Here is a 23,156-nt window from a genome sequence, read left to right as displayed (position 1 = left end):
AGTTGAGGAAGCTGGAGTCAAAGAGATTAAGCAACTGGACCAAGACAACACAGTTAATATATTGCAGCACTGGGTATTGAACTCAAGCCTTTTCATTAAAAAGCCCAGACATACTGCTCTTAATCCCTCTACTGTATTGTCTCCCATATATTGTAGTGCTAAAAGTTTCCTCCTGCCCAGTTACCCTGTATCCCCACCCTAATCCTGTCAAGGCTTGCTTTAAGATGAACTCAATACCAGCCATTCCTCTGCCTTAAGAAGGAGGGTGGCGACCCCTGGTAAAATGGAAATGTATTCCCTGGGGATAGAGTAGCAAGTTTGCTGCCTAACCTTGGTCAATGATGACACATCACCTGTTGAGTGTGGCTAGTATTACACAACAGTTTAGTTCTGCTAGAAATACTAAATGAGAGTGCTTAAAATGCCATTTTAAGTTATGGTACCACATATCCTTACATGTAAGTTATCATTATAATTATCTGGAATGATTTTTACCAGTCAATATGTAACTGTAGATAACTTTATTAATTAGCAGATAGCAGGGTCCTAAGTGATTACAAAATGGGTCAGTTCAGTGTTCCTGCAGAAAGAGATCATGAAAGGCCCTCAGTCTGGGGCACAGCTTGGGAGAGCAGGCCAGAGAGAAGGATTTCGGAAGACATCCTGGCAAGCAGAGAAATGGGCACTAGAAGTGTGTGTGTGTGTGTGTGTGTGTGTGTGCCTGCACATGTGTACTCCTGCACAAGATAGGCATGGACTATGGACGGGAAGGGGGTAGAGGGTAAGGAGAAGAAAGGTGGTGGCCTCTGACAGCAGAAAAAGGCAACACTGAGAACAAAACTTTCCTTCTTTATTTAGGTGAGGCCCTAGATATCTGATCTAGTGGTTTCCAAAACTGGCCAAGGTTCAGAAGAAAGACTTAAGAATATTCCTGTGTGCTACTCAAGACCAATTTAGTAGATCAAGGTTAGGCCATACACTTGCTACTCTATCCCCAGGGAATGCGTTTCCATTTTACAAGGGATCTCCAATGCATGGGTAGAACCTAGGCATTTATACTTTTTTTTTTTTATTTATTATACTTTAAGTTTTAGGGTACATGTGCACAATGTGCAGGTTAGTTACATATGTATACATGTGCCATGCTGGTGTGCTGCACCCATTAACTCGTCATTTAGCATTAGGTATATCTCGTAGTGCTATCCCTCCCCCCTCCCCCCACCCCACAACAATCCCCAGAGTGTGATGTTCCCCTTCCTGTGTCCATGTGTTCTCATTGTTCAGTTCCCATCTATGAGTGAGAACATGCAGTGTTTGGTTTTTTGTCCTTGCGATAGTTTACTGAGAATGATGATTTCCAATTTCATCCATGTCCCTACAAAGGACATAAAGTCATCATTTTTTATGGCTGCATAGTATTCCATGGTGTATATGTGCCACATTTTCTTAATCCAGTCTATCATTTTTGGACATTTGGGTTGGTTCCAAGTCTTTGCTATTGTGAATAGTGCCGCAATAAACATACGTGTGCATGTGTCTTTATAGCAGCATGATTTATAGTCCTTTGGGTATATACCCAGTAATGGGATGGCTGGGTCAAATGGCATTTCTAGTTCTAGATCCCTGAGGAATCGCCACACTGACTTCCACAATGGTTGAACTAGTTTACAGTCCCACCAACAGTGTAAAAGTGTTCCTATTTCTCCACATCCTCTCCAGCACTTGTTGTTTCCTGACTTTTTAATGATTGCCATTCTAACTGGTGTGAGATGGTATCTCATTGTGGTTTTGATTTGCATTTCTCTGATGGCCAGTGATGATGAGCATTTTTTCATGTGTCTTTTGGCTGCATAAATGTCTTCTTTTGAGAAGTGTCTGTTCATATCTTTGCCCACTTTTTGATTGGGTTGTTTGTTTTTTTCTTGTAAATTTGTTTGAGTTCATTGTAGATTCTGGATATTAGCCCTTTGTCAGATGAGTAGGTTGCGAAAATTTTCTCCCATTTTGTAGGTTGCCTGTTCACTCTGATGGTAGTTTCTTTTGCTGTGCAGAAGCTCTTTAGTTTAATTAGATCCCATTTGTCAATTTTGGCTTTTGTTGCCATTGCTTTTGGTGTTTTCGACATGAAGTCCTTGCCCATGCCTATGTCCTGAATGGCATTTATACTTTTAAAACAGCTTTCTAGGCAACATCCTCTGAGTGCTCAGCGCTTGGGCCCATGTAGAAACTTTGACTGCACTACTCTTCTATTCCATACAACTTGGCTTCCTTCTTCCCTATCAAACTGCCCCTGCTTAACTCCTACACATCCCACAGCTCTCAGAGCAAACATCCCCTTCCAGAGACACCTTTCTTGACCTTGTCTAGGTCAAGCTCCTTCATTATGCACTCTAGAGAGAGAAGTTCTTTTTCCTTTGAGCACTTGTCTCAATTTATAATTACATAGTTAGAGAGAGAAAATCCATGAATATGAAACAGGGATAATATTTGTTTCCTGAAACTCCAATCTCTTTCCAGCACCTAGAAAAAATCAGAATATGGTTGGTGATTAATAATGTACATAATTTTTATCCTTTGTCTTAACCTGGGTTTTCTGGACATCAGGCTTTCACCATGCCTGTTCTTTGCTCTCTTTTCAAACTATATCAAGTTAAAAAGCCTCTACCCATCAGCCCAAACTCTCCATCATCAGACCCACACTCCCTATTCAACTTGATTTCGAAGAATTTCCTCCTTAATTAGCTGGCTTCTTTATTGCCCCATGGAGTAAGCTTTTGCTTACTCCAAACTCCATGTCCTTTTTAAATTTATTTTTTATTTTTTGAGATGGAGTCTTGCTCTGTTGCCCAGGCTGCAGCAGTGGCGCAACCTCAGTTCACTGCCACCTCTGCCTCCCAGGTTCAAGCGATTCTCCTGCCTCAGCCTTCTGAGTAGCTGGAACTACAGCTGCCTGCCACCTTGCCCAAATAATTTTTGTATTTTTAGAAGAGACAGGGTTTTGCTGTGTTGGCCAGGCTGGTCTTGAATTCCTGACCTCAAGTGATCTGCCTGCTTCGGCCTCCCAGAGTGCTGGGATTACAGGCGTGAGCCACCATGCTCAGCTTCCATGTCCTTTTCATGTGCCATTTTCCTTCCTTAGAATGCAACAGACTTTTTCCTCACCACCTATATAAATCCTTTACATTCTTCAAGATCCAACTCAAGTTCGAAGAGCATCATAAAGCCTTCTGTTTTGGGCTGAATTGCGTTCCCCCAAAAGATGTTGAAGTCCTGACCCCCAATACCTATGAACGTAACTATATTTGGAAATAGGGTCTTTGCAGATGGTCAAGTTAAGATAAGATCCTTAGGGCAGATGAGCTGAGCTGGCCCAATATTCCCGGTTCCAGACTAGTGCCATTTGTAACAGGCATGCCGGGTTTTAGTCAGCCAGGTGGTACTTGAATTTTAACCCTGAAATTTTCTTGGTTCTAATTCCTGAAAAGATCTTAAGGAAGATTAATAAGCTCCTGGCAGGCTTTCTAAGACCTGACTTCTTAGAGCTGGAGACCTCATAGGTCTACCAAGAGCTTTTGCATCAGGAGACATGGCCAAGGAATATGTCTATATCTGCGGATTGTCTCTTTTCTTAATGGCCATATCAGTAGAGTCAACCAAGAGAGTTGGAAAGTGAAGCAAAGAAAAACCAATAATATACCTATCTACATATCTTTAAATTTCTAAATTATTATTTTAATTAATTAATTTTGAGATAAAGTCTCTCTCTGTCACTGAGGCTGTAGTGCAGTGGCACAATCACAGCTCGCTGCAGCCTCCAAATCCTGGGCTCAAGAGATCTTCCAGGCCGGGCGCGGTGGCTCACGCCTGTAATCCCAGCACTTTGGGAGGCCGAGGCGGGTGGATCATGAGGTCAGGAGATCGAGACCATCCTGGCTAACAAGGTGAAACCCCGTCTCTACTAAAAATACAGAAAATTAGCCGGGCGCGGTGGCGGGCGCCTGTAGTCCCAGCTACTCGGGAGGCTGAGGCAGGAGAATGGCGTGAACCCGGGAAGCGGAGCTTGCAGTGAGCCGAGATTGCGCCACTGCAGTCCGCAGTCCGGCCTGGGCGACAGAGCGAGACTCCGTCTCAAAAAAAAAAAAAAAAGAGATCTTCCTGCCTCAGTCTCCTGAGTAGCTGGGGCTACAGGCATGCACCACCATTCCAGGCTAATTAAAAAAAAAAAAAAAAAACAAAAACAAAAACATTTTTAGGGATGGGGTCTTGCTATGTTGCCAAGTCTGGTCTTGAACTCCTGGGCTCAAGTGATCCCCCTGCCTCAGCCTCCCGAGTAGCTGGGATTACAGGTGTTACCCACTGCACCCATCTTCTATAATATATTTTAAGACTGCATTCTGAAAGTAGTCTTAACTACTTACGTACCAGGGACTAGGCTTGTCATGAGAATATACAAGTGATTAGTCAGGGCCTTGCAGCTACTGTTATTTTGCTAACATCTTCCCAGGCTGGCTCACACAACTGCCTCCTTCTGGTGACAATGTCTGACCTAGTAGCAGGCCTAAAGAACCGGACAAACTGGACCACTATCACTATTTAATAAGGCCTGAGTGAAATGTATGTTGAGGTCACTCCTAGACCAGCAGTCTCTACAGAGTGGGAGCTGCCTTGGCTCCTTTCAGTTGAGCTCAGGCCCTCCTGTGCACTTCATGTGTGTCTCTCCAATTTGCCACAAGAAAAACTTCTCCTTTTCTTTTTTTTTCAGTTATGTCTCCTGAGTTCTAGTTCTCCGTCCTGAAGTCCATGTAATGTGAGTTACAAGCCGTCTGCAGAGGTGAGCATTCGACTCTGGCCAGCTCAAGTTATTCGGCAAGGTGTGATTGTCCAGTCTTGAGGCTGTTTGCTGGGAGAAGCACGACATAGGCTATTGCCAGTGCCAAGGAGAACAATCCTAATAAGACTGACAGCCCTGCCCAAATGACATGGCATTGAAAATGACACCTGACTGAATGAAGCTGACACTGAGGTAGGCACTGAGCTTCTTCAGAGAGAAGGGAGGGACCAGCCACAGAGGAGGCATGATCCAAACTTTTGGGATCCTCAGAAATGTGTGAGTGACTCCTTCTTGCCCCAAATCTCAAAACCATTTTGATAAAATAAAATATACCAGATTCTTTCCATGACATTGAACCAATAATTTTTTTTTTTTTTCCCTGAGGAATCATGAAAAAGAAGAGAGTAGAAGTGATAGGAAGGGTTTTTCAGGGTTTGGAGAATGACTTATGCTTGAGTCACGATTTTCCAACTACTTGTTCATATCCTGCCTTTGGCACTCGTCTTTCCCCAGGAAGAGATACAAATAGAGGTGGGGGAAACAAGGCTATGAGACCCGAGAGGAGGTCTTCCCTGAGGCCGAAATTGGGAGGATAGTCTTGAGCTAACCCCACCCTCTAGGAGTCTCAGGTTTCCCACAGGTCATTTATTTGCCCGGGGCGGCTGAGGGGGGTGGTGCCTTAATTTCTTTCTAGGCTAGGAAGTAGAAGGTTGATTGAGATCTGGAATCTCCACTGTCTCCTGAGCACAGGGACTCTCAATCACTAAGGTTGGGTTCCCTGAGCATTTATAATGCTGTGCAATGTTGTACATCTTTGCAACCCACCGAGCCCCATGATACCCTGGGCTATATTCTTATTGTTCTCTTTTTGAGGATGAGGGAACCATGTCTTATAAAGTGGAGAAATTATGATGAGTCACTTTGAGTGACAGGAATAGTAGAGAGACATCTGTTGTTTACATGGATCCTAGCATAAATGACATTATAAAGCTAAGCCTCATCTCCTAAATTCTTTCTGAGTTAAATCTGGGATAACATAAGGGTATACTGAAAAGATGAATTTCTAAGAACAAGTCTGATAACATAGGTTGGCTTTGGAGTTGAATTCTTATCTGTTTTCAAATGGGATACAAATGTGTCAAGCTGTTAATACAGACTGCTGGGATCTGAACACATAGCATGTGTCCCCCCAAAATTTACACATTGAAACCTAACCCCCAAAGTGATGGTATTAAGAAGTAGGGTCTTTAGGAAGTTTTTGAGTGGTATCATGAGGATGGACTCCTCATGAATGGGATTAGAACCCTTATAAAAGAGGCCTAAGGAAGTTTCCTCAGCCTTTCTGACATGCAAGCACACAGCTAGAAAGTGCCATCAATGAGGAGTGGGCCCTAGCCAGACACTGAATCTGCTGGAGCCTTGGTTTTGGACCTCTCAGGCCCCAGAAATGTTAGCAATAAATGTCTGTTGTTTACAAATTACTCAATCTAAGGTATTTTGTTATAGCAGCCTGAATGAACTAAGACACTCACCTATCAAGTTTTCCCTGATGGTTAAGTAAAATGAGCGTATGAAAATCAGGACTGATGTACTTGCACAACGCTGGGAGTGAGAACCTCCTTAAATTTTACACCCTAGACACCCCTCCTGCCCAGCCTGGTTGAAAATACCCAGCATGAGGTTTGGTGCATAGTTGATAATGAGTAATTAGATTCCTACCTTCTTTCTTCAATCTCGATTGATTAAATTGATGAGGCTTACTTACACCTTCTCCGTTCTGTACCTTCCCAGACTCTTCAACGTTCCCATTCTACTTCTCTAGATCTCAAAGTCTAATGCACAAGCAGGGTCCTAGATAGCATGAGTTCACATAAGGATGGACAGAGTGAGACTTTTGGTCTTTCGGAAGAGCCCAGGGAATTGCAAAGTTTAAGATGAACTCTAAAATGCCATCCATCTTGTTTTTCTGGCAGGATGAGCAGCCAGGTGGCAGATTTTAGTTGTGGTCTAAGGGGCAAATGCAGTTTTAAAGAAAACTTTAAGAGTACAATTACATGCTTAAGAACCTTAAATTGAGAGTACAATTAGAGGTTCTTCAGATGAATACAAAATACAATTTAGGTTCTTAAGAAGCCTTGGGTTAAGGAAGATAGACATTTTAAGTGTTTCTTCTGGGGTTCCATTTAAAATGAGCTCCCACTCTAAGGTCTCTCAGGAGAGCCAGACTGCTAGAGTTTAAATTTGAGCTTGCCACTCACTATGTGACCTTGAACATGTGGCATGACCTTTCTATGTCTCAGTTTTGTCATCCATAAGATGGGGATAATATGGTATCTATTTCAAGAGAATGTAAATAATACAAATAAAATACTAGCAAAGTATACATAGTAAGCTCTCAGTAAATGTTATTAAGTGACAGTATCATTATTTCAGTGACCACAGAGAAGAGGAAGTTCTATCACTCAGCTCTAGAAAGTCTGTTGTACAACAGTCTATTGCTTTATGCACACTTGTTATGGGTAACAAGGTGATTTTGTTTCAGAAGAGAATGCAACACCTCAGAACTTTAAACAGCGTACTCTCCACTACATTTAAAATATGACTCATTTCTCTAATTTAATTTACACCCTTTATTTAGAAACACACCTTCTGTGTAGAGCAGCACACACCTGCAGTATATACTAACAGCATCCACTGCAGAAACAGGTTGAGAGACATGAAGAAGCTGAAAGAAGCTAACATTGGTAAAGTTCCAACCATGTGCTAAGGACTCTACTTACATTATGTTGTTAATTCTTTTAAACAGCCATTTAAAAGTCTATTCTTATGTCCATTTTATAGATGAAGACATCAAAACTAAAAGCACTCAAATTTTCCAAGGTCAAAACCTGGTAGGTGGCAGAGCTGTGATTTGCATCAACTTCTGTCCATGCTCATTTTATTAGACCACAAAACTCTTGGGTAGAAAGAACTTTAATTTCTTTGCCTAATCCTTTCTTGTCTTCCCCTTGTGACTCTGCACCCACTAACCAATTCTAGTCTCCATGAACCCTCATCCAATGACCCTCCATGCTTCTCAAAGTGGAAGAATGAGCTTTATCAGCTCAGGAACTCATTCTTTTGGGGTGTGGGAGAACAGCATGATGAACAATAGAAAGCAGGGACACAGGGCTGTGGTGCTGTTTAATTAAATTAGCTTGAGATAATGGTATATCCTGAAATGGGAACACATCCATTAATGCTGTTATTATTATCAAGGACATGAATGGCCCATTGAGGATTGATGAGAGAATAAACTGTCCATATGCTACGAACCATAAGGAAACAATTGATAGGAAAAACCTCAGCGAGAAACTTTGGATGGGACTGATAATGCATCCTCCACCATAAAACACATACACACACAGTAAAGGGGATGTATGCTTGGCATCTGGTAAACCAATGAACTGTGAAGGGACTGAGGCAATAAAGTGAGCAGGTTTCACATTGATATTATAATATGATATGTTTATAGGATGGGGACATTCAAAAGTGATTCCAGCAGCAATGTATAGGAACTGTTTTAACTGAGTTCATGTTCTGCAACAGAAGTGCAGACTTCATCAATCACACAAAGAAAAGAGTCATGAGAAGGGAAGGTTTTGGACTTGTTTTCCCCTATAAGTGGCCTTTGGATTTTATTGGATGTAACCTACATAATGCATTGTTTATCCATATACTATTTAGCCAGGGAGGGTGTTTAGGAAGACACAAGCCTTGTCTACCCTATACCCAAAGAATGATAAAATAAAATATACATATCTTAATGCCTTCCTGAAGCCATAAGCTTGTTCTAGTTCACTAGGGATCCATCTCTGCCTGTATGATCTATGGTGTTATGGACAGAGGGGAGCAGAATGCAGCCAATTATAACCATGGAGCAAATCCTGGGAAGAAGAGATGTAATACAGGCTCAAGGAATGATTTGCTGCTGAGAGGGTTCCATTAGCCCCGGAAAGGGTTAGAGGGAAAAGGTTCACAGCAGAAGAGTGCAGATATGTGCCTGAGAATGTCAGGAAGGGCTGCCAAGGGTGAAACAAAGGGGAACTTCCCACCTGGAAAATGTTCCTCCTGACAGCAGTCTGTTCCAAGCGAAATCAAATGGTTTGCAAAAATGTGTTGGGAATCACAAATGTTTGGTGTGCTTGGGATGTGAAATTGTTCAATGATCAGGCCTTATGCATAGCCTTTGGATAGCTTATGGGTATTGATCTTTGGATCTTCATAGAGCCCACCGGGTTTGTTCTCATGCCCACACATCAAAACTGAGATATTCTCTCTGAGCCTGTTCAAATAAATGAAGCAGGACCCTCCCACCAATAGCTATTACCCTCTGCTGTCAAGCTCTGACATATCTTGGAAAGGAACCCAGCACCAGACTTCTCTGTTACTCTCCTGCAGTGGCCTTAATAACTAGGTTGAGGGCTGGGGAACTGCCCTGGGTTAGGGGTAGGGGTGGGAGTTGGATGGTTCATATTTACTCTACTTCTTATCCATGGGCACAGAGGGGATTTCTTTGCACATTCCAATATAAAGGGAATATTTCTGGTCCTTCTTCCTTTCATTTGTGCCTTCTTGCTGAAAGAGGAGTGATTTATCTGATTGATGAGAGTGATGTCCTTCTCCCCTTTCCTTCCACTTCTCTCTTTCCATTTATCCTGACGTCCCTTGAGTAGAACATAATCCCTCTGCATTGATTCCCAGGAAGTCAACACATACAGCCTTGGGTGTCCCTTGTTATGGAAGCTCACAGTATCCAGTTGCTCTGCAAAGACCTTCCCAGGTAGTGGGAGACCTCACTGAGTCAGACATATCCCTTCTCCACGTCTTCACTCTCTCCCTCTCTAATGGCTTCTCACCCCCAGTTTACTTACATCCTCAATCTGATTGAATGACAAAACAATTCTCCTTGCCTTTTACATTCGCTTCCTTGTTATCTAGTTGTTCTCTTCTCTTCGCATTGACACTCCTAGAAAATTAAACTTTCTCAAATGCTCTCTCGAATGCTCTCATTTCCCAGCCTCAGCTCAGAAAAGGCCTCCATGTCCACTGCAGGCGAACTGCTTTTTCAAGGCCATAAATGACCTCTTATTTCTAATCCCATGGAAATCTTACTTCTACCCTTGGCTGAATTTGAACGTGTTGATCACATCTTCCTCCTCCTTCTATAAATTCTGTTCTCCTTCAGTGTCTCTGACATAGGGCTCTTCTGTTCTTCATATTTCTCTAGACGCTTCCTCTTGGCCTCCTTTAATGGACTCTTCTTTCCCACTCATCTCTTCCATGTTTGTATTCCCCAGGTTTCTTCATCAGCCCTTTCCTTATGCAGGTCTCTCATGAATCCACTATGTATTACTTAAATGCTAATGACATCCCATCATTGTCACCTTCTTGCTGCAGGACTTCATGTCCAGGCCACTGTGGTAGCCTCCTAACTATCTCTCTGTATTTACTCTGTTCCCTCTAATTCCCTTTGGCCTTGTAGCCAGAGACATCTCTCCAAAACATAACCCTGGTTACATTGGTCTAATATTTAAATTTATCCAATAGTTCCCCTTGTTTTTAAGTAATATCCCTGTTTGCTGTCTAGACCATGCCACCACTAACTGGGTTGTGTGTTCAGATGCCAGCCAGTTTTGGGGTACCTACTCTGTGCCAGTTCCCATACTGAATTCTGGGAATATGATGATGACTTAGATAGAATCAATCTTCTGCTCACAGAGCTTATTTGTAGTTAGAGATGGTTAAACCAGTAATTACAGTAAAGTGTGATAAGTTCTAAGATTGAAGAAGTACAAGTTACCATGGGATCAGATCACAGAGCCTCTTCACCTGGAGTGCAAAAGTAGAGAAGGCTTCCCTGGCAACCATGTTTAAGCTAGAAAAAAAAATTATTTTACAAAATTGACTATCATCCTTGCAAAGGGCAATGCTCCCTTTTGCTCTTTTTTCATACACCCCCTTTGTGTTACTTTCTGCCCTCCAGCAGTGAGGAAAGCTTAGAGGTTCCTGAAAAGACCATGCACATTTTTAGTCCTTCTCAAAGTTAGCTGGTACCCATCCTTTAAAGCTCTTTCATTGGGTGGTTTACAAAGGGCAGTGAACTTGCTGGTTAGTGCTGCAGTACAGCAATCCAGGATTCAGTTCAATTGTGCCCCTGAGTTGTGCATCCTTGGGAAAGTTATTTAACTTTACTGAGCCTCCTTTTTTAACTTGTAAAATAGGGATAACAGCGGTACTTCCCATTGGGATTCGAAGGGACCCAATAAATGGCAGCCCTCTTTCCTATCCAAGTTTTGAACAAATTGAAAAACACAACAAAATAATAAAGTAGAAGAGAAACTGAACATCCGTTTTATTAGTGATTAAGCTGGTACTAAAGAGTATGGCTACTGTATTTTATTGATACTAAAAGGTACTTTCCCTTCACATTTAACATCTTTTCACTGAGGGTGCATTTCACAATCAATTGGCATGTTACAGTTGCTGCTGGCCAAGTGGCAGTCGTGACATAGTTGTTAGTGCCTGCACACACATGAACTTGGGTTATTCTTGGTGGCAAACCAGGCCACTGCATCTCTTGATGTTTCCATCAATAAAATACTAAGAACCATTTAGGGAAGAATAAATTAAAAAGTCCTGGTTGTTGTCTAAAACCTTCCTTTGCTGTCTTCTAAAAGACAGAATGCTAACAGAATGGATGTCTTCAGCTTGGAAGAAAATTCCAGAATAATAAGAAACCAAGGCTGTATCTTGATGGCAAGGAGGAAATATATATATATTTTTGTAAATCATGTAGCTACATAACTCTGAGTCAAAATGTGATTCAAAACAGACTCTAAATGTGAATTTTAAAGGTATGCATTAGCAATTTATTTTCCTTTTTATGTACACAAAAGAGTGACATGTCATAAACATGTATGTTTGAAAGAAACAATCTTATTCAGTAAGCATTAAAAAATTCAAAGTGATAGAATGGAAAGTATTGCTTCATGGTCAGTGTTTTTCTTTCTTTGTGATACATAAAATCATCATGCCACTTTCACTGATGGTGCCTTCCATGAGGTGAAATATCATGTATCCGCAGGCAAGCAGGCTTCAAATGCGGAGCCATAGGACTGAGCAGACATCTCCATGAGGGGTGAGAGCTGGTTGCTTTGCAGCCTGTAGAGGCAGAGCACAATTATGCTTCCCATGGGAAACTTGTTCCTAAGAAAAGGGGAAAGGAAGAAGGAGTTGGATCTCCACATGTGCAGTTCATGTGTAATCCAACTCACAAATTGCATTAAGTCACTCCTCCCTGAGAAGAGATGGAGAGAGTTCAGGAACGTTACCCATGTGGAGTTCCCTCGACATGGAAGGACACATCAATAGAGTAGCTATCTCACAGATTTGGCGTGACAGCAAAATTAAGTGGGTAATGTAAAATGTCACTCAGTTGTCTTTTAGCATTCAGTGTTGCTGATGAGCAATTTGACATTTGACATCAGTCTGATTCTTGTTTGATCAATGGCCTATTTTATTTTGCTTCCCCACCCTTGTGGGAAGACTTTATTATTGCTTTAGTCTTAGTATTCTGAAATTTCAAAAAGATCTGTCTAGGGGTGGGTCTTTCTTTTTCTTTTATTTTAAGTTCAGGGGTACTTAGGCAGGTTGGTTACATAGGTAAACTTGTATCATGGGGTTTTGTTGTGCATATTATTTTGTCGCCCAGGTATTAAGCCCAGTACCCATTAGTTATTTTTCCTGATCCTCTCCCTCCTCCCAATCTCCACCCTCCAAAAAGTCCCAGTGTGTGTTGTTCCCTTGTATGTGTCCACGTGTTCTCATCATTTAGCTACCGCTTATAAGTGAGAACATATGGTATTTGGTTTTCTGTTCCTGTGTTAGTTTATTAAGGATAATGGTCTCCAGTTCCATCCATGCCCTGCAAAGTATGTGTTCTCTTTCTTTTTATGGCTGCATAGCATTTCATGGTGTACATGTACCAGATTTTCTTTATCCAGTCTATCGTCGATAGGCATTTATATTGATTCAATGTCTTTGCTATTGTGAATAGTGCTGCAATGAACATACCTGTGCATGTGTCTTTCATTTACACTAATTAGAATTTTGTTGGTACTTACATTTTGAATCTAATGTCTACGTTCAATTCTGGGAAATTGTCTCCTGTTATTTTTTTGATAGTCCCCTCTTCTCTGTTTCTCTGCTCCAACTTTCTGGAACTGCTCTTAGTCAATGCTGGATCTCCTGGATTGAATGGCTATGTCTCTTATTTTTTCCAGCTCTTTTTAATTTTTTATTTATACATTTTTTGAGACTGTCCAACCCCTTAATTTCTAATTTCTTAATCCTTTTTTTATAGCATCTTGTTCTTGTTTTGTAGATGCAATATTTTCCTGAATCTCTCTAGAGACTTCTGGGCAGGCCAGAGAAAGCCAAAATGTGAAGCAAAATGGGTTTGGTGCTGGTATGGTGGACAACAAATTCTGTTGAAGTGGTCTTGAATGCTTCCCCTAGTGATGTGATAGTTTCTAGTATCATTGCCTGCTGGGGCAACACATCTTGTGATGGCAACTTAAAAAGTTTACTGCTTTCTGATGCTTCTCCTCTTCAGAGAAATCTAGGTTAAGAAGTCCCACAGGCCAGGTGTGTTGGCTCATGCCTCTAATCCCAGCACTTTGGGGTGCCAAGGTGTGAGGCTCACTTGAGGCCAGGAGTTCAAGATTGGCCTGGAAACCATAGCAAGACTCCATCTCTACAAAAAAATTTAAAAAGTAGCCAGATGTAGTGATATATGCCTGTATTCCTAGCTACTTGGGAAGCCGAGGTGAGAGGATCTATTTAGCCCAGGAGTTTGAGGCAACAGTGAGCTATGATTATGCCACTACACTCCAACCTGGGTGACAGAGCAATATCCTGTCTCAAAAAAAAAAAAAAAGAAAAGAAAGAAAGAAAAGAAGTTCCATAGACTTCTTGGCACTTTGTGCTTCACAGTATCGGAGCACATATTTACTGAGTACCTACACTATGCTTGAGTCTACTTTCTCCCTTGCTTTGATCTAGCAACTGGATCATAGCATGCATTCAGTAAATTCTTGTTGAATGAATGATTTCACTTAAATACATTTCAATAATTACTCGTTAAATACCTCCCAATATATTTCCAGCAGAATACAAAGCATTGTGTGTTGTTTAAAACAAAAACAACAATATCAACAACAAAATAGTGCAAGTCACACCCAATGCCGTTGTGGAATTTAGAGTTTAGTAGAGTAATTAAATTAACAAATAAAACTCCAAAGCGATACAAGACAGTGTTTAGGTATTCAGATAAGCGTTAGAATGCAGTTTCCAGGCTGGGCGCAATGGCTCATGCCTATAACCCCAGCACTTTGGGAGGCCGAGGAGGGCGTATTGCCTGAGGTCAGGAGTTTGAGACCAGTCTGGCCAACATGGTGAAACCCCATCTCTACTAAAAATACAAAAAAATTAGCCAAGCATAGTGGCATGCACCTGTAATCCTAGGGCTTCTGAGGCTGAGGCAGGGGAATTGCTTGAACCAGGGAGGTGGAGGTTGCAGTGAGCCAAGATTGTGCCACTGCACTCCAGCAAGTCACTGGATGTCACAGTACTGGGGGACAGGTGGCAAAGAAGAAGGCACCTTTGAAGGGATCATTCACATCAGGGGCCCCAGTGGCAGGTCTGCATAGGCATGGCAACATGCAGATCTGAGCTTCACCCCCTTGTCATTTACAATATTCATGCCGTGTGGCGCTATCTACATCACCTCTTTTCCTTCTAGCCTTCAGAGAAGAGGAGGCAAGTTCCAGGACATTAAGTATGCTTTGCCACTTCCTGCTCAGATCCAATTCTAAAATGAGTGGTTATCATCTGCCCAGCAGTCTTTTGAACTGTGGCAGCAGTGGCTTTGTAGGAATCTGGCCATTCTTTTTTTTCTCTCCTGCTCTCTGTTCATTTCCCAGGCTGCACATAAGCCCATTGATTGCCGTCCTTTGAGTTGTGTTCCTATGATGCCTTGTTATTTTTCCTTCCTTGTGTTCTTTTTCTGCATAATGGCTGGTGGCAGTCACTTGGACAGGGCTCAAATCATTGCTAGTTCTCCTTGTGCGTAGATTTCTTATATTATTCCTACCAAATCTATTAAATGTTGCTGTTGACATTTTCTTTTTGGCCACATGACAATAACAATATTCAGATCTCTAGCCAAACACCTGCTCAGGAAATATGTTACTGAGGAACTTGAAGCCTTCATTCTTATCCCACACCCCTGGGCAATATTGTCTTCTTCCACAGCATGGCTTTATAGTTTACGCCCCTTTGCCTGGCACTCACAGCCTTCCATGGTCTGATCCATGCCTGCTTTGCCATGGTGTTTGTTCCCTATAAGTCTTCTCACATTTGAACAGTGATGTCTGAAGTTGCAGGACTAGGAAGAGGCTGGGTCAGGATCAGAACCCAGCTCTCTGATTTCTAGAATGAAAGTTCCTGTTTAGCAAACAGCCTGCCTTTAGTCTTCCTCTTCAGCCAATGGGGCTATTTCTTCCTGATGACATCCTCTAGCATTGACAATGCCTCTCAAGTGACATTTACTCAAGTAGTGCTCTGTATTCTTGCTTAACTTTGTCTAGGGTTGATATTCCGCTGGTATCGTCCTACATGGTTGTATAGCTTGTTAAAATATCAAAATAATTCTTTGGTGGTTAGTAAATAACTGTTACTCTAAATCCCTAATTAAATTGCCCAACCATCATCCAGGCTGTCCTGGCACCTTCTCTGGCACCTCTCTAGATCTTGTGATCTAACGATTAAGGGTTAACACCTGGTGCGGTAAGGCGTCTGCATTACCCAGCTCTAGTCCTTGGCTGGTGTTTCTTCTTACCAGCTGATGCCTATGTCATACGGGTTTCTTAGAAATTTTGAACATCAGCCATGATGTTGTGTCTGTGTCATCTAAATGCTTGCGGGGCTCATCAGTCTGTTTGGCAAATGAGATGGCACTAATATTGATACCTAGCTTGGGGGCCTGTACCTGCAACATTACTGGATGCCAGGAATCTCTGCTCAAAGGTCTCTTGTGCCGGTAGAAATTGGAGCCACTTCCCATGCCGCTGCCCTCACTTTCTGCCTAGCCATAGCTCCATAAGTCTCTCCACAGCTGCCATGATTGGAGCATTTCCCACTTGCCATCTTCCTCCTTTCTCCAATCAGCTTAGTGCTAACTACCTGTGCTTCTGTATCAAGCCACAGTCACGTCATTCTTCTTGGGATGCAGCCTATAAAGCTGATGCATTCCACTCTTTGACCACTAATGTTTCCTCTGGGAGCTGCATGTTTCGTTGTTCTACTTGGGTTGGCACCATTCACTCACACTACAGCTCTACCCACTGCTGCTCCCCCTGAGCTGTTAACTGATAGTCCTTCTTTTACCAGGTCTCCAGTTGTCACCTCACTTTCTGGAAGGTGAATAACTACTTTTTCTCTGTGTTGTACTTTTTTGGAGGGTCTCCAGAGCAGTGTTGCTTGGGCCTCTAAAATTAAAGATTTGTTAATGCTTATAGACAAGCTTTTGTTTTCTTGGAAAAAATATGTGCTTGTAGGAGGCTGCATTCAGTCGCTCCCTGCTGTAGTGGAACCAGTTCTCTTCCCCACTCCCTGTGCTATGCTGCTAAGCCCACCTCATCATGCTAGGCAGGTTCTTTCTTCTCTCAGAGTAGACTGCTTTCCAGAGGTGGATCTCACACACCTCCATTGTAGTTTGGCCTTCATCAGGATCTTTCTCAAACTTATCCCAGTTTTTCAGAAAACCCTATTTGTTTCTGAATTCCCCATACTGAGAATTGAGGTTTTTTTCCATAGGGAGGTCCCCATTCCCACAGGAATCAGTCAGTGGAAATGAACTCTGGGGAAAGGGAAGTCACCAGCCCCCACTAAGTCATTTAGCCAGCAGTCCCTCTTAGCGCTTTCATACCTCACTGAACTTTCTTGGGGGACGAAAAGTGTCTTTTTTTTTTCCTTTATATTCTCCCATGTCCTCTAGCATAGGTCTAGGCACTTTGTACACATTTAATATAACTTTGTGGAATGAATGCATAAATTGATTCATTTCTCTGCTAGGCATTGTTGCTGGAGCTTACATTAGAGATTTCTTATTTGGCTGTGTGTCATGAGGCTTCGGGGATCTCATGAGTTTTTTTTTTTTTTTTTTTTTTTTGAGACACGGTTTCACGCTGTCACCCAGGCTGGAGTGCAGTGGCGCAATCTCAGCTTATTGCAACTTTTGCCTCCCTGACTCAAGCTATTCTCATGCCTCAGCCTCCCAAGTAGCTGTGATTACAGGCACACACCACCACGCTAATTTTTATATTATTCATAGAGACAGGGTTTCGCCATGTTGGCTAGGCTGGTCTTGAACTCCTGGCCTCAAGGGATCCACCCGTCTCAGCCTTCCAAAGTGCTGAGATTACAGGCATAGGCCACCACACCTGACCGAGCTTTGTGAAATTATAAATAAAGATTCTGTATATGTGAGATTTTTTGAAAGGGAGAGTCTATAGCTTCCCTCTTCTCTCATCCCCACAGATTTTCAAGTAAGTCTATGCCCCTCTACCTTTAAGCATTTCTTAAAGGTGGATCTTGAGGATCTTGAAGGGGTCTTCTTGCTCAGAGGAGGCTTTGTGGTACTTAGTGTCTCTGTATCTAATTGAGTCTGGACTGGTAGAACATGAAAGTGGGTGACTAGGTAGGAATTTTCTAATGGACGTTTATCCTTTAAGAGTTCTCTAGGGTTGCTCAATCATAGAAGAAAGGACTGAGAATGCTTTGTCTACACACTGATCTGATCTAGCACCCTTCTATCTTGGCCTAAGCTTTTTGGTGTAGAATCTTCCTGGTGACTGCTATCCTTTGTCCACTTGGCAATCCATTGGCTTCTGTCTGTTTCCTGGTCTACCTGTGTCCTTGTTATCAGTGTCTCCACGTGTTTTTCAAATGGGCTGTTTGTGCTTGCTGTTTACATAGATGTGTATAGATGTTTAGGTCATCTACTTTTGGCAACCAATGGAAGGCTCCGTAAGTACGTTCCTGAGTCCTTGCCTTCAGAATTATGCCCAGAGGGGCACTGACCAAATAAGGTGAGCCATGTTAATGACACCTTGGGTTGAAGACACATTTGAGATTACTCTTTTGCTGTCTTGAAATCCTAAAATCAGGTTACCCTGAATCCATGATGCTTTTCCTAAACTGGAATATTGTAGAAGTTAAATATTCCAAGTGGAAATGGGGATGGAGTCTTCAATTGTGAAGCATTTTATCAAACTGATGTGATTATAGTGTTTTTTACATGAGAACTATCTTCTCCAACAAGTGAAATATCATGACCTGGCATCACCCTACCCTTTCCAAATAGCAGGCAGACAGTTTAGAGCAACGAAAAACAGTGTAAGTGCCCCAAGCACTTTAGGAGCTGAAATAATCACAACTTTCCTCTTGCAACAATGCCTACTGGTTAGAGATTCACAAGACTTTTCACTGTCTTTGTACTTCACTGTTTGTGGGAGGGGTAGATGAAAAGAAAAAAAGAAAGGGGAGAGGCAGGAATGTAGCCCAAGATCTCAGGAGGAGGGAGCCTTTAGCTGGAGCCTCCCTCTTTTTCTCCCAAGAGGATGATATCAGGATAGTAAATTACCAACCCTGGGGAATCAGCTTGTCCCTTTAAGGCTATTAAAGGGACCAAGATGAGCTGGATTCCTAAATGAGCTTTGAGGATTACTCTGCCAGGTGGAAGGTGACTGACCATGGGGGAAAGAGAAATTGGCTCCCAGTATATCATTTTTGAGCTGTCCAACGGTAATCCCCACACTGATTTAAGCAGGAGGCATTTGAGATAGTAATGGACAATTGCCTCTTGCTTTTCTCTGATAACAGCAGGTGCTCTCAGCAGCAGCAGCTTATCCTAGGTATGGAGAATGTGAAAGGTGGGAGCCTTGGACAGGACATGAGGATAGAGGAGAGATGTGGATTGGCACTTGGAGGGACGCGGGACAGATTTGGAAATGGCAGGTATCATCTCAGTCCCCAAAGGGAGCTGCCTCTCAGACTGAGTTTTGGGAAGAAAGATCAGGACTGCTCTTGTTCAGCAGAGGGAATATAGCTTCAGGGGCAGATGTCATTCTTCAAAGGCAGGAGCTAATTTTCTCTCTGGATTAAGGAAAAGATTCATGAGGTCAATGGTGTGGGCTGTGCAACCCACTCAGTGGCTGTCCTGGAAACATCAATCAAGTCCAGGCATCCAGTCTTGACCACTGGCAAATATCTATTTTAGATTGACCCCATCCTCACTTGCTGGAGAGAGGAGATGTTATTCAATGTGTCAGGGAACTTACTAAACTGCTAGATGGCAATATTTTAAAGTTAACTTTAAAAAAAGTGTCCTTGGCATATGAGCTCTGAGAGGATATTGGGATCGTTTTTTGACAGGCGAAAAGCCCTAACACAGGCGTTTGGGTAGATGGATGAGTTAGAGGCTTCATGGGCTTTCACCTGGATGATTGTAATGTCCATAATGGTGGTCTCATCCTCTGAAGTCTCCCCACATCAATCTGCTACCCTCCACACTGTTTTCAGTGTGTAATTTCTAAAAAGGCATTAAAACAAAACAAAACAAAACAAAAAAACCCTTTGCTTAAAAACCTCCAGAGACTCCTGGTTTCTATCATTGATACAGTCTTGGTTCCCCAGCATGCCTATTACTGTATTCATCATCTGATTTCAACATGCTTTTCCAGGCTCATCTCCCATTACTTTTTGCCCCGAATGTCTGCTCCAGCCCCTAGAAACCACACGTTTCCCTGTGGATGTGCTCTTCTCTTTTCTACCTGAGCTTGTTGCTGGTCCCTCTCACTGAAATCTGTCTCCTCCACCATGCTCTGGCAGGGGGATGCCCAAGAACCAGTTCCAATGTCACCTCACTTAAAAGCCTCCTCTGGTAGCTGCCCTTCTGCACACTTCCTGATTAAGGCAGATTTTGTGGTTTCCTCTGCTGTTCTTGCAAATAATTTTTAGTAAATTTCTGCTAGAACACTTGCCCCTGCTGTACAAATTATATTGTAACTTTTTGTTAATATGCCTACCTTCTCCAATGGAACTGGGAGACTATTCTCGTTCACTTTTTTCTTCAGTTTCAGCATCTATTACAGTACCTAGGAGAGGTACTCAGTACATACTGGAAGAGAAAATGAATGAAGGCTTGAATGAATGTAGAAAAGAATAGAGCACAGAAAGAGAGATCTCCAGTGTATAGATAGGAAAGGCCTATATGAGGTTATGTGCTCCCCCGCCCCCAGCCGCTCTCCCCCTTCCAACTTACTGCAGGCAATTTGCACCTAAACTGTCCTTTATTTTTCTGTTCCATCGTGTCTTGTTGCCCTCAATTGCTGTAGTCTGATGTTGACCCTGCATGACAAGCAGATCAACTCCTAATCTGCCAGAGCCCCAGTTTTTCTGGGACATTTGCAAGCTCCTGACAGAACCCGAGGAGAGGAAAACTGTCAGCCCTCACTTGTCAGTTCTTGGAGCAGCCAGTCCAAGGCTTAATTTGCACCTTGAAATCCCCTGGGGCCACCATGGCTCTGATTGCTGGTTTAGGCCCCTTCAATAGTTTATCTTAGGGGATAAGTAGGATAGAAGGATGGAGGATGAGGACTATCACCACTTTATTGTTGCATCTCCAAAAAGTCGGGATGGAGCAGGGGTGTGGGGATAGGGGTGTAGACAGGGAAATAGAAAATGAGGAATGAATAGACTGGTTTTAAGTTTCACATCAAATTAGAATACTAATGGGGAAATTGAGTTGGGAAACATTAAAAAAACACAAAGATGACTCAGTGTAAACAGCACTGTCTAAAAAGCAGCAAAAGATCCACACAGGGAGAAGCTGCACTTGAGTGATAATAAAGGAGGCAGCTAAAGCAAAGAGATCTCCCCGTCTGCACCAGGTTTCTATCACTTAATCAAAACTGACTCCAGCCACTGCAGCTGCAAAAAAATGTTCCCAATCTTCCACTAATTTCCATACAATAACCCTGTAATGGGGGAGCTGTTCGGGGGAGGAGCGCAATCAATCTGGCCTAATGACACACTGGAGACCTGGGGAAAATGCAAACTTGGAGCAATTTCATGGCAGGTGCAACCTTGGAAAGCATTACCATTTTTCTAAGTTAATTTGTTCCCTTGGTATGTTTGAAATCCATATTTGTACTTTAAAGATCTAAAATGCAAGATGATTAAAAAATATAACCGGATTTTTGTAAGCCTTTCAGCAATAGCGGGTGATATATTTGCTGCCTCCCTCCTTCCTCTCCTCTGTGAGCAGGGATCACTTTGCCTTCTTTTATCCTTTGCTGTCATCTGAGGTGGCTGTAGATTCTCTGTTTTGTTTACTTTTTTTAGGTTTTCCCTTGGCTCCCGCCTTCTGGAACCCTTTTGCACTCTGGGCAGAACCAATCTAGGAAATGGCAGCCAGACCTCTGGGTGGGATTTAGACCCTAGAGGAGGAGGAGCAAAGAAATACCATTCCCGGATTGGTCGTGGGTGGAGAGACTGCAATGTCTTCTCCTTGTTTTGGGCTCTTCCTCCGTGCCCAACTTTTCTTCCCAGACAGGTGAAGAAAGGTCCAGGGAAACAAAAACAAAATCTGGCACTTGGCCCTCATTCAAGAAATCGAGAATTCAAGAAACAAGTCCCTTGATTTCTCAGTTTCACTGGCCCTCCCCTGGCCTTGCAGCCTGAAGCTGGCGTCTGGAGGTCATCTAGGCAGAGGCCTAGATGTCCTTGGCAAATCCTTTTCCTCTTAGAACTTGTCCTAGGAAGTAAAAGGAGAAGTACTCTCTGCCCCACTGAAATACACACACATTCTCTCTCTGTCTCTTTTTCTCTCTCTCCCCTTCAAACATCTACTTGGAATAAAATGATCATGTGCAGATTTCTGCTCCCTGGTTTGCCATCTTGCCAAAGGTCTTACAGACTAGCACTGTTTATGGAACATGCAGGTAACTTCCCTGCCTCTCCTCCACTTTAATCTAGGGAACTTTACGTTGAAAGAACCCTTTCTAGATTCTTGCGGATTATTCTTCCCATGCTTCAAGTGGCTTTTCCCATTCCGGAAGCAAGGCACGTGGGGAGCCCTGTGTATATCTCTCATTGGTAGGGCATTCAAACAACCAGAACCTCGTAAGTTCTTCCAGCCTTTGAAATAAGGTATATTTCATTCCATTTAGCCTTAAGGTTTATAAATTAATCCAAAAACTCTCTGAGAAATGCATTTGCCGTCATAATTGAGAATTTGATGATAACTTACTCAAGAATCCAGCTCTAAGGCTCATTGATGGTGCTTAGAGTTCAAGGGTTTCATGCTGCTTAACTCTGTTAAGTGCTCTGGGATGAATTAACACTGGAGAGAAACACAGATCTTTTAGGGCCGGAAGTTAGCAGACAGTCTTTTTTTCTGAACTATCATTAATTAGCTCTTTGGGAGCTTTAATTCCTTGCTCAGAAAGAGGGAATTAACATTCATTCCATACTTAGGAAATATTCTCTTTACTGTCTTGCACTGATGCTATCCCAGCACCTTAGTATAGTAGCTGTGAGAATGCCCCATGCAAACCTCTAACTCCTGGGGGGCATAGTTAACCAAGAGTCCCAGCTGCTGGGCTCTGAGCTGCATTACTGTGCTTATGCCAAGGTCACACCTCCCAGAGGTGGCTCCCGGACAGTGACTGAGGTTGGCAGGGATACTAAGGCAAACCAAACTCTAGGAAATACCGGATTCTTTAGATTTCATCTTGATAATTGCCCTATGGCCCTGCTGTACTGTCCTGAGTCTTCATGGTGATCTAAGACAATTCTACCCAATCTTTCTTCCTGTCTTTTTTCTTTGGAAGTCTCAGACTTGCATGGTAGTCTGATGGCTCTTCGCGTCTCCCCAGCTCCCTTCTTATTTTCTCTTACAGGTATATTCTCCATAAAAGTATTTCACCATGTTTAATCTCAGCTTGGTGTCTGTTTATCAAAGAACTTGGACTAACACGAATAGTCGCAGGCACCAGAGAGACTATGTCTCCTGGAAAATGAGAATTCAATTGGTTATATTCCACTAGGCTTCAGCAGTTCAGATAGAATTATTTATTTTGCATTTAAAGGTAAGGACTACAGTATAAAATAATGCCCAAAAAACCTGTTGAACTCTTAGATTTTTATCTTGGTTTTG

This window comes from Homo sapiens, chromosome 1 (assembly GCF_000001405.40).
Source record: "Homo sapiens chromosome 1, GRCh38.p14 Primary Assembly".
Lineage (NCBI taxonomy): Eukaryota > Metazoa > Chordata > Mammalia > Primates > Hominidae > Homo > Homo sapiens.
Note: the sequence above shows the minus strand (reverse complement) of the source record.